We start from the raw sequence: 12,688 nt of genomic DNA, 5'->3' as shown, positions 1-12,688 counted from the left end.
AGGCTTGGTAGCTTACGCCTGTAATCCCAGCACTTTGGGAGGCTGAGGCAGGAGGATCACTTGAGCCCAGGAGTTTGAGACCAGCCTGGACAACATAGCAAGACCCTGTCTCTACAAAATATATATATTTTTAAATTAGCCAGGTGTGGTGCTGCACACCTGTAGTCCCAACTCCTCAGGAGGCTGAAGCAAGAGGATCGCTTGACCTTGAGAAGTTGAGGCTGCAGCGAGCTATGATCACACCACTGCACTCCAGCCCGGAAGACAGAGCAAGACCCTGCCTCAAAAAAAATTCCAATAAGAACTCTGGACACAAAAGCTCAGTGAAGCTTCCTGATTGGTCAGCACATTGATTTTCTGGAAGGGTGACATGTAATTCTATGGGGAGAGTGCACGGAAGTTCTATGTTTGGGACCACCTCCTTTCCCTCGACCTCTCCTTATGAGTCTCTTCATTTGACAGGCCCTGATTTGTATCCTTTATAATACAACTGTAATTGTAAGTAGAGCACTTTCCCTGAGTTCTGCAAGTTGTTCTGTAAGTCATTCTAGTGAATTATCAAACCTAAGGGAGGTCATGGAGACCTTCTGGATTTGTAGCCAGTTGGTCAGAAGTGCTAGTGGCCTGAGGATCCCCAAACTTGTGACTAGCATCTGAAGTGGGGCAGTTTTGCTTTAGATTGTGCCCTAAAATCTGAGAAATCTGGCACTAACTGCAGTGATTAGCATCAGAATGAATTGTAGTGCAGAACCATCCCATAACAAAAAGGACTTGTGGGATTAGCCACATTGCAAGATCCAATGTAACGCAGTATAGCCAGGACCAGATCAGACCAGCCACCTTGTAAGAAGTCATCAATATCATCCCCAGGTGATTCAGAGGAAGGCCCTGTGACCCCAGGCCCCTTTTACCTCTATCACGTACAGATGCGGTATTGAGAGGGAGGAGAGGGAAGGAAGTCTGCTTGTAAAGGCAGAAATAGCTTCACTAAAGTGTTTGAACTTTGATGGGACTGCAAACTTACCTGCTTTAAATTAGAGGAGACTGTGGTTTTAAAAAAATTCTTAAAAACATTTTTTAGTCAACAAGTTCATACCTCTGAATCGTCAAGACTGGAAGCTTGAGAATAGTAGATTACTATAGAAATGAAAGAACACTGCCTTTTCTCCACCCCTGCTGCCAACACTACCCCCCCCAAACATTTGTGTTGTAGTGACTAAAATTGGACTCTACCATATATAGCTTATTTGAATGTTCCCTTACATTTCTCCTGGAGTTCTCTTTTTTTGGTCCAGAAGTATCTTTCCCATATCAACAGACCCACATTTTCCTTTCCAGTTGTCAAATGATATGTATCAGGTGGGCTGGAACAGACTCAGGTAGTTTCCACAAAGCAGATGGACTATATACCAGTGATTCATCAGTTTCCATGGGTGTTGGCCCAGCTTGTGTTTTGGGCCTCTGGTCCAGTGCTTGGTTACTGTGGGAGTCTCTATGGCTTACAAGATTCACTTAATCACTTATTGGTTATATAGTAGGTTCTGGGAAGGAAATAATGGATAAGATTCTAGTTGAGGTTTTTTTGTTTTTGTTTTTTTTTAATAGCTCCCCTTCGCCACCCCAGTTGACTTCTGAATTTAGTAGGAAGACATAAAGATAACTAACTTTGACAGAATTTTAAAATTGCTATAATAAAGTACTGCTAGTAAGGAATAAGTCATGGGCTCAGTCAGTTATTTTGTGCATTCTTAGGCCCCCTCTGTCTCTGATTAGGTGTCTTGAAAATGTCAGATGCTGGTGACAAGGGCAGAAGAGGAGGTCACAGAATTTCTGGACCCTGTCCAGAAATGTCTGCAGGGTCAAGTAACAATAACAAATGAAACGGGCTGATGTTGATTGGAGCAAATCGGGCAAATGATCCCTGTGTTGCCAGATTTTCTAATTTTTAAAGAGAAGCTAGAAATTTGTTATTTTTTAGAAAGAAAATGATGCCAATATTTAAATGCTGGCATAAGAACATAAACAAATACAAAATCACTATGCAGGACAAATAATACCTCCTGGCCAGCCATACTGGGCTAACCATACACTGTTTGCAACTGTCTATATAAATGGAGTGGCTCAATGCAAATCCACATGTACAAACAATGAGAAAAACACACTGGTTTACATTTGAAGTTTATCTCTGAGCAGAGCTCTTCCTTTTTATTTTCCAGCTTGGGATCCTATCACTTGATGATAATTATTGATTAATATTCTTTCAACACGTCCCTTAGTTGCCCCTCTCCATGCTTTCTGCAGACTTCCCTCTCTGTAGACTGTTCTTCCCTCCTCACTTCCACCTGGTCCACAAGGATTAAACATTGTCCCATCTGTTTCTGCTTTGTTTCTCTCTATTTCTCATATTCTACCTTGTGCTATGGCTCATATTTCTCTCCTTTGTTTTGGCATCACTCAATGTAACATCCTCTGTAAACATTCTTTTAAATTAGATGAGAGTCCAAATCTTGTACAGGGCTCATATCTTCCATTATCTTCTCTTTATTCCCCTTAATTAAACCCAAGGGATTATATTCTAGAGAAATTGTGGTATTCTGTCCCATTCCTTCTCTCTGCCTTTTCTTTCCATACCTGTATATGTACACCTAAAAAAAACCCAGTCACATGTATCCTGCCAATAATCACTAGCAAGTTCTCTTTTATTGTAGTTTTAATTAGCTTTTTGGCCTTTAAACCATAAGTCCACTTGTCAGCGACAGATTGGATTATTAGTTTTATTCTCATGAAATTTTTAGTTAAAACTCATTTTTTTATTATATGCATTATGAGATATGCATCTAGAATATTCATAAATGATTTTACTTCTCATTATTGATGAACTTTGGTCCCTGTGTCTTCATTAGTGCTTAGGTTTACCAATTTCCTTTGATTTGGAGGAGATTATTCATAATAAATGCTAAAAAATTGAATCTAGTTCATAACTGAACCAAACATATCTACTGTGATTCATTTTTTCTTACCTTTTCAGTAGCTTCTGAGAGTTTCCTATGGATTTTACAGTACAGCTGTGAAAATTAGTGTAGAGTGATGAAATCTAAAGGCACAGGCGACGGTGCAGAGATATGAAGTCCTGAGAGGCCTGTCTGAGCCAATGGTCCCAGCCTGAGCCCACTAAAGACCGGCTCTCTCTTCTTCAGTTTTCTCTGGGCTCATCTGAGTGGGGCCTCTAGAGATCCTTTGCATGATTATATGGCTAAAACGAGGTGGACTTGGCCAGCAGACCACATGAATGGGCCAACTCATTGTCTGAGAGGTAGTGTTCATTGTGCAAAACTCTAAAGCATTTCCTTTCACTTAGATCAGTTGGAACCAATCATTTCAGATGAAACTGGCCATGGCCATAAAAGTTATTGTCAAACTGCAGAATAAAAATAAATTTGCATCTCAGAATATTGTTCCTACTAAGGATCAGACAGCACCTAATATTTGACTTATCCTACTTAGTACCTGTTGGTTTTGCCGTTTTGGTTAACCTTTCTATGAGGGATGTTGGCTTCTCAGAATAGACTATGACTTTTCGTTGGTAGGAAAATGTGTAGGTATCTCAGACGACAGAACTTGGTGTTGGTAGTATTAATGCCTACATTTATTTCTTCTGCTTCTCCTTCCAAGAAAGAATGGCAATATATGTTTTCTAAAAGAGACTTGGTAAATCACAAGTAAATATGATATTAAAAATATCTCAGCACCACCACACCTGACATACAGACACACATCTCACATTTACTGGCTAACTTCAGTTTTTTCTTAGATTAAGTCCAAAATATCACTTCCTTCAACAAGAATTTATAGGTTCAAGTCTCTCTGCTCTATTTTCATAATGCATACCTAATTTCTTCTATTAAAACATTTATGACACTTTATTTCTTTTATTGCCTATATCCCTAAGTGAACCGAAATTTCTAAGAATAGGAACTATGTGTGTTTTGTTTACTGTAGTATTCTTAGCACCCAGCACAACTGACCTATGCTTTATTAGTCTGTTTTCATTGCTATAAAGGAATACCTGAGACTGGGTAATTTATAAAGAAAAGATGTTTAATTGGCTCACAGTTCTCCAGGCTGTACAAGAAGCATGGCACTGACATCTGCAGAGCTTCTGGTGAGGCCTCATGGAGCTTTTATTCATGGTGGAAGGTGAAGTGGGAGCAGGCATGTCACATGTTGATAAGGAGCAAGAGAAAGAGATGGGGGAGATCCCAGACTCTTTTAAACAACGAGATTTTGTGTGAACTCACAGAGTGAGAACTAATTCATTACCGCAAAGTCGGCACCAAGTCATTCATGAATGATCCACCACCATGGCTACCATGATCCAAACACCTCTCACTAGGCCCACTTCCAACACTGGAGGTCAAATTTTAACATGAGATTTGGCAGAAACAAAATATCCAAACCATGTCGTATGCCTTCAACAAATATGTTCTGGAAAAATACTTGTTGAAGAAATAAATATTCTCCATTTACAAATAAATCTAAGATTCTTGATATTAAATTATTAACCCATTTATGGTACTAATCTAAATGGCATTATGTCTACATTTTTTTTTTTTTTTTTGAGACAGAGCTTCACTCTGTCGCCCAGGCTGGGGTGTAGTGGTGCGATCTCGACTCACTGCAAGCTCCGCCTCCCGGGTTCAAGCAATTCTCCTGCCTCAGCCTCCCTAGTAGCTGGGACTACAGGCTCCCGCCACTGCACCCGGCTAATTTTTTGCATTTTTAGTAGAGATAGGGTTTCACTGTGTTAGCCAGGATAGTCTCAATCTCCTGACCTCGTGATCCACCTACCTTGGCCTCCCAAAGTTCTGGGATTACAGGCATGAGCCACTGTGTGCGGCCTTATGTCTACATTTTTATACATATGCACACACTTAGGCTTGTGTATATACCTAGTTTGTATATATACCTAGTTTAGTACTGTAATTCATCAAATTTAAGATAGCATTAATTATATAACACACTATTATCTTATCTACCCTTAAGAGAAAACAATCCTGCCAATTACAGTGTGACCCAATGTTTCTTTATTTTTATAAAAATAACCTCAGGTAAGTAATAACTCATTTTAAAATTTATTGAATTTAGTTTTTTTCAGTGACATTAGGAAATGCTCCAACTGAAGATTAAAACCAAATATAGGTACTTGTAAGCAATGAGGTAATTTAAAAAATTTAAGCCCAAGTAATTTTAAACCTTGTTGTGTATCCGTTACTAATTAAAGTATATAAGAAAATAATTTTTCCTACAATGAGTTTTAGAAAAGTTGCAATGCATTTTTTGCCTTCTCCATGAGTATACAAGAACAATATAGTTACCATTTCAAATATATCCATTTTCTTATTTCATGATGAAAACCTTGACCTTTTGTATTTCTGAGATCCAATCTAATTTTGTACTTTAATTGTATATTGTGAAGTGTTCCCTTCTGTTTCCTGGTTGCATTAATTCATTTGCATTGTTATAAAGAAATAGCTAACACTGGGTAATTTACGAAGAAAACAGGTTTATTTTGGCTCATGGTTCTGCAGGCAGTACAGGAAGCATGGTGCTGGCAGCTGCTCCTGGTGGGGGCCTTAGGGAACTTTCAATCATGGCAGAAGGTGAAGGGGAGCCAGCATGTCACATGGTGAGGGAGGGAGCAAGAAAGCGGAGGAGGTGCCAGACTCATTTAAACAACCAGCTCTCATGTGAACTGAATGAGAACTCACTTATTACTATGGGAATTCACCATGCCACTTATGATCCACTCCCATGACCAAAACACCTCCAATTAGGCTCTACCTCCAGTGCTGAAGATCACATTTCAACATGTGATTTGGAGGGGACAAATATCCTAACCATATCACTGGTATTTCCCAAAAGAAATGCAAAGTGGTGCTAAGTATTTTCCTCTAATTATATTCACAAAACTCTTAAAAGAGGAATTTTGGTTTTGGGGGAGAGAATCAAATGCCTAGAATGCCTTGGGTGGCCATTGGCAGGAGACATGAAAATATGAAAGTGGAGAGGAAGAGGGAGAAGGAGAGGGAGAATGAAGAGAGAGGGGCAAAAGAAAGACAAAGAAAAGGAACAGAAAATAAAGACCATTAAGTGTTGGCTTCTTTTATCTTCCCTCACACAAAGATATTTCCAACGCAGCAGTCGTGTAATATAATGAAAGTCCAGGCATAGTTCAGAATTTTAAAGTATTGTACAAAAATATATTGTTATGAAATCCATGTTTTGGGTATTGCAACAGAGTTCTTCTTTTATTGCTTTCATAAAGCTTCTTCTTGATCGAGCACATGGTTTGCTGCAGTTACTCATTCTCAGAAAAGTCTTTTCTGCATTTGGATCCCAGGTTTCCTTTCTACTTGATGAGCAACTTACTATCTCCATTTTGGGTATCTATTTAGGCATCTCAAACTTACCCGATGCCTTATTTCTACTCTCCCCCTCAGCAACCTGCTTGTCCTGCCATCTTACCTATCCAGTGAATGGAAACTCCACGCTTAGACGAAAATGCTGGGTAGTCCTTGACTCCTCTGGCTCATTTCACATCCAATCTACAAACAGATCTTGATTGCTCTATCTTACAAATATATCCAGAACCTGTCCACTTTTTACCACCTCCGGTGACATCAGCGAAATCCAAGTTTACCTGGGCCACTGGCCCCAGGAGGTCTCCTGATTTCCACACTTGCCTCCATACCACCTGCTCTCTCTCTCTCTCTCTTTTTTTTTTCCAGACGAGAGTCTCGCTCTGTCGCCCAGGCTGGAGTGCAGTGGCGTGATCTTGGATCACTCCGCCTCCTGGGCTCAAGCAATTCTCCCACCTCAGCCTCCCAAATAGCTGGGATTACAGGTGCCACCACTGCGCCCAGCTACATACAGACGCCCTCAACACCTAAGTCAGGTTGTGTTACTCCTCGGCTCAGAAAGAGCCTCCAATGGTTCCCTTCTCACTGACAGTGATTACAAGACTCCTCATGGTCTGGCCCCGTTACATCTTTGATCTCTTCTGCCGTTCTCTCCCTCACTCACTGCTCATGTCCTACTGGTTCCCTTGCTGCTCCTTGAAGAAGCTCAGGACTCAGTGAGATCTTCTCTGGCTACTCTTTTTAATTTTTGCAATAACACCTAGTATTCTCTAGCCCTGTTTTCTGCAGAAGTATATAGTTAAATTATTTATTTTGTTTATGTCTGTCTTCCCCAACTAGAATATAAATTTCACAAGGGCAAGGATTTTGTCTGTTTTGTTCACATAGCAATACTGGGCACACAGTGGGCATTCAATGTTATCACTGCTTCCTCTGTGCTAGGCATTGTGCTAGCCATAGAGAGCTGAGGGTGGCAAGATGAGAAAGGGAAGGGGGTCATATGAGCAGATGACAGTATTTTACAGAGAAGCTGACGTTTGAGCCAAGTGCGAATTTGTTAGGAGGAAAGACAATGCACTCCACTTAGAGGAAGCCATGCCTCTAAAAGCATGAAAGTATAAAAACAACTCCAATTCAGAACGCACTGTTCATTCATTCATTGATTTATAGCATCTGCTATGTTTTGGTCACTACCCTAGGCATTGGGGGAAAGGAATAAAGAAGAGCAACAAAAAGTCTCTGCCCTAAAGAAGCTTTTGAGCAGCACTTAAACAAGGAAGAAAATACATAATGCCATTTTGTGATAAGGTCTATGAAAGAAATAAGCAGTGTGACATTAACAGCCACAAGCACATGAAGTGTGAGAGTTACATTAAACAGGTGGTCAAAGAAGGTGTCTTTGTGGCAGTGATCTCTGACCTAAGACCTGAAGGAGAAGACACCAGCCACACAAAGATGCAGGGGGTGCGGTCTGGGTAAGAGGACAGTAAGTACAGAGTCCCCGAGGAATCCAGATGGAGGCCAATGAGACTCCAGTCCAGTGGGTGGTGAGTGGGTAAGACAACGTTACACAGGTACACTGGGCCAGATCCTGGAGAATTGTACAGATCATGAGTAGTAGACCGTGTTATGCTATCCGGTCCAACTCCAGCGCACCACTTTTTGGAAAGGAGCACTCCTTTTCCCAGCTGCCAAGAGTGTGGGCAATGCCAGTTTGAAGCTGAAGTCCCACTGGGAATTGCCCTTGGCTGAAGAGAGCCTGGTGGTGGTCCAAGGTCACACTTGTTTTCCATAGGGCAGCCCAGGAATGACTGGCAATGCTAACATACAAAGGCTGGGCTCCTTTTGATTCAATTAAGGATGACGCTGCATAGTCATGCAGGTTCCAAAGCTCTGTGGGACTGGTGGCAGCTTTTGCTGCAACTGTTTCCTTCTCTGTCCAATCCTGCCTCCTTCATGTCCTCCACAGGAGTTGACCCTGAGAGTACTCACCGATTAACCTCCTATATACTGACCTTCATCTCAGGATCTGCTTCTTGGAAAAACTGAACTGCAACGCCATGGTTTATGTTTTACGTACAAACTGAGTCCGCATAAAGCTTTATACAGAAGGGTGACATCTGATTTGCAATTTAGGAGGAGGACTCTGGTTCCTGATTGAAGAATGGATTATAATTGGGCAAGGGTGGAGGCCCTCCTATAACTTTCAAAAGCTGTGATGGGTTCAAGGGGAGATATGTTTATTCCACTTTGAGCTGTTTCTCAGGATATTACGTGCTGTGATGGATATGCTGGCTGGAAGAACATGCAAATCCAGCCCTAACACTGCAGAAAAGATTGTTCCAAAGCAGAAGACTATGCTTTTACTGATCGGTCCGGGCAGGACTATGGATGTCTTAGATGAACTGCTCTCCAAGACTAGATAAGTGGATGTTGGAGAATGTTCTAATATTGGGCCACTGTTTTTTGCTTTTTGGGTTTCTTTTTTTTTTTTTTTGAGATGGAGTTTCACTGTTTAGCCCAAGCTGGAGCGCAATGATGTGATCTTGGCTCACTGCCACCTCCATCTCCTAGGTTCAAGCAATTCTCCTGCCTCAGCCTCACAAGTAGCTGGGATTACAAACATATGCCACCATGCCCAGCTAATTTTGTATTTTTTTAGTAGAGACAGGGTTTCTGACCATGTTGGCCAGGCTGGTCTTGAACTCCTGACCTCAGGTGATCTATCCACCTTAGGCCTCCCAAAATGCTGGGATGACAGGCGTAAGCCGTTCGCCCAGACTGTTTTAGTGTTATTGTTGTATTGGGTCTGGGGGAAACCATAAAAGTGGTTGATAAGGGTGGACATTCACACTACTAATCATATGTGAAAGGAAGCGATTTCTGGATAAGGAAATGGGGCCCTCCATAGCAGGTCTAAGACCAAGGAAGTGAGTTGGGCTTCCTCAAGGCAATTCACAATCCAGAGGGTTGCAGCCAGCCTGAGGTCAAACTAACCCAATTTTCCTCCTATCCTCTGAAGCCGTAGGGAAAGAAGGCCCTGACCCATGCAGTCAAGAGAGGTCAACATCCTAAGCAGAGAACAAAGGTGGAAAAGGGTGGAGGGTGAATGTGGAGAGGCCAGTGATGGATATGTGGCATGCAGATGAAAGTTCGTCTGTGTTGAAATTCTTGTTTCTCATAGATGACGGGTTGATGGGTGCAGCAAACCACCATGGCACGTGTATACCTATGGAACAAACCTGCATATTCTGCATGTGTACCCCAGAACTTAAAGTATAATAAAAATATTTTTAAAAAAGAAATTCATGTTTCTCGAACTTTAACATGCATACAAATTACCTGAATGTTTTGTTAAAATGCACACTGTTTAGGAAGACTGGAATGGGACCTGAGATTTCGAATTGCTCTCCAACTCCCAGGTGATGCTGAGGCTGCTGTGCATGAACTACATTTGGAGCTGCAAGGTTACTATTCCCCCCTGTTATCTCAGGACCTTAAATGAAGTGTTGTCAAAAGTTACAGCCTGGTTTCAGCTGTGTCAAGGAAATATCTCTTATACACCAGACACGCAAGGAACAGGGAGGGAGTGCATCCCACTTTTCCCTTCCCTCCTCAACCAAGAGTGGCATGGAAATAGCAGCATTCGCCATAGGCAGGTCAGCAGTTCTAGAGGAGTAAATGGCAACTGGCAGTTGGCCTAAGTGGCCAGTGGACGGAGTGGAGATTGATGGCCTGAGCCCATGGAAGCAGAGATTAACTGACTCAGGAAAGCACATGAAATACCACCACCTTTGAGGATTCCTGGGGAAGGGGACTGTGGCCCAGCTAATTTGATAAATGGAGTCTTGAAGTTGCTGTAAATAATAGGAAAATGACTTTCCTTATTTATGTTTGCAGGCTAGGGAAAACTGGACTTACAGGGAATGAATCAAGTTGGATAGTTGAAGCTCAAAAACCACTGCAGAATACCTTTGTGCTTAGCTTTGTGGCTGCTTCATTGTGAACAGCTGCCTTTCACAGTTGTTTGTATTTAGTCTATGATATTGAGAACAGACAATCCTAAATGGGAGAGGACTGTCTAGTAGAATCCTATGGATCCATGAATGAAAAAGGTGCAAAAATACGTTTTTGACTGCATGCAGGGCACCTCAGCTTTTGCTACATGGTATTCTTACAAAAGTAATTGAAAGCAGAGGAATGGTAAGGAATGAATCATCTTTTCATCTCCTGCTATGGAGTAACCAGTACTTACATTCTTTTTCCAACCGCTGGTGTTCCTGAATTGGTAAGGTAAAATGTTAACAAGTTGACTTTGAGACGGATGAATCAGCAGGGAAACTGTTGAATGAGTGAATCAATGAAGTGAAAAGTGAAATAGGGGTTTGTCAGCACCATCCAGGCAGCAGATGGATGGAATTTAAGAGGGGATGGCAGTGAGGACTGCCTGCACATTTTTCTTCTTCTCAGTATTAATAATTGAGAGTAGCTTAATCATCAAGTTCCCTCTCCAAGAGCTACATAAAGTGGGGAGTCCTTTTTAACTTTCTCATCTGTAGAAACAATGATTTTAATCAAAGTATTCAGAGTTAAATTCTGTAAGCCCTAAGCCCTGGACAGTGATGAAGGCCGTGGTCTATCAGGGAAGGTAGGAGTTGGCTGGATTAAGGGTAGGGAATTCTACATGAAAGGTACAAATGTGACTACAAATGTTACTACTAATCGCAAATGCTTACACAGCATTTGTTATGTGCCAAGCACTCTTCTAAGGGCTGTACATGAGAAAACCCAGAGTCAAAGCCACATCCTGCCAGGAGCTTTGAAGGTCCCCAAATGCAAAGGCGGCAGGGGTGAAGAATGGGAAAACTTGATTTACAGTATTTTTATTTTCTTTTCTGCATATTCTGGCAACCTACCCCACTAATCACATAGCGGTTAAATTGAAAACAAATGAGTTTATGTAGTCCAAATTCAGTAAAGGTAGATTACAAAAGGAAGAAGGGAAAAGTTTTTATTTCTTTTGTGGAGCTTGGTGACAAATTCTTTTGAGGCTTACACTACCTTCATGACAAGGTCTGATATGATCCTCTCTATTCTACAATTGCCTCCACTCCCTCTCCCTTCCCCTCTACCAGTTTCTTCAAGGACAGCTGAAATCTAGGAATGAACATGTTGATACACCTAATCCTGGGCCCTCATGGAAATATTCATTAAGAATAACCTTACCCTTTGCCAACTGCTAGATAAACCAGTTTCATCAGATGATGCACACTGGAGCCAGATAACTTCTAAAGACCCTTGCAAATCTGTTTCAGAATGCGTGACCTATCCAATCCTTCCTCTCATGGAAACACCAACTCATCCATGCCCTCTGTGCTGAAACTTCGTCTCAGCCTGCTGGAATCACCTGCACCCCATGGGAACTGTAGCCATATCTTCAGTCCTGTGAGCCCCCGTCATGGCCTGTCACAGGAGTAAATGAGGAGTAAGGTGAGAGAGGGCACTAAAGAGAGGATAACTAATCAATCAATCATCAATTTCGACCAAGCCTCTCCAGTTGTGCTTGGCTCCTCTGAGGTTAGGAGACATGAGGAAGGTGAATTTTCAGTTTCCATTTTGATTATTTTAGAAAATACTGAGCAAAACGGCAAGCACATCCTGGTGACCTTTGGGAGCTCTTTCTACATGGAGGGGCACAGGGGCAGCAGTGTTTGAGGACTGTTAGGTGGAACCTACAATTCTGCCTTCGTCCGCCTACATCTGATCTATATATTTAGTAACGATTCTGAGTCAGGAAGTTAGGAAAGTTTTCATGCACTTCATTTGTATCTGTATTTGGCTAAGTTTGTGAGTTGCTATGAGGAAATAAACAAACAAAAGCAGCTCTCCCTCTCCTCCGCCCCCACGCGCCACTCCATGCAGGACAAGGGCTCCAGGCTGATGACGGTGGCTCCGTTTCCCTGACTTACTTCATCCTCTCCTACAGCTCTTTCTGCTTGGAAGCTCAGGGGCTGAGCAGAGGCCCCAGGGCTGTGTCACTATGGAGAAGAAGGCTGCGAGATCGCAGTGTGAGCACTGACTCCCTGTCCCCACACCCCGGCTGCCTTGTTCTTCACCCCTGCCTGCAGCCTTAGCCCTGCTCCAGACTGTGGGACCAGACCTGTCCCTTGTTGGGAAACTGAGGAGTCCAGCAGCATTGGTTACACACTGATGAGCTGCCCTGCTCTGACCTCGTGCTCCAGTTCTGGTAACTGGGCTTCTGCTTTGAC

General features: G+C 42.2%; 1 long non-coding RNA gene across 1 annotated transcript in view; it reads left to right on the top strand.

Moving 5' to 3' along the window:
* Positions 1-12,688, top strand: part of LINC00607 (long intergenic non-protein coding RNA 607) — a 231,974-nt gene that overhangs the window by 81,385 nt on the left and 137,901 nt on the right. Inside the window, exon 2 of the long non-coding RNA NR_037195.1 lies at positions 11,735-11,909. This is a non-coding gene — a long non-coding RNA (long intergenic non-protein coding RNA 607). The remainder of the gene's footprint in view (positions 1-11,734; positions 11,910-12,688) is intronic.

This window comes from Homo sapiens, chromosome 2 (assembly GCF_000001405.40).
Source record: "Homo sapiens chromosome 2, GRCh38.p14 Primary Assembly".
Taxonomy (NCBI): domain Eukaryota; kingdom Metazoa; phylum Chordata; class Mammalia; order Primates; family Hominidae; genus Homo; species Homo sapiens.
This window is presented reverse-complemented; position numbering and strand designations above follow the sequence as displayed.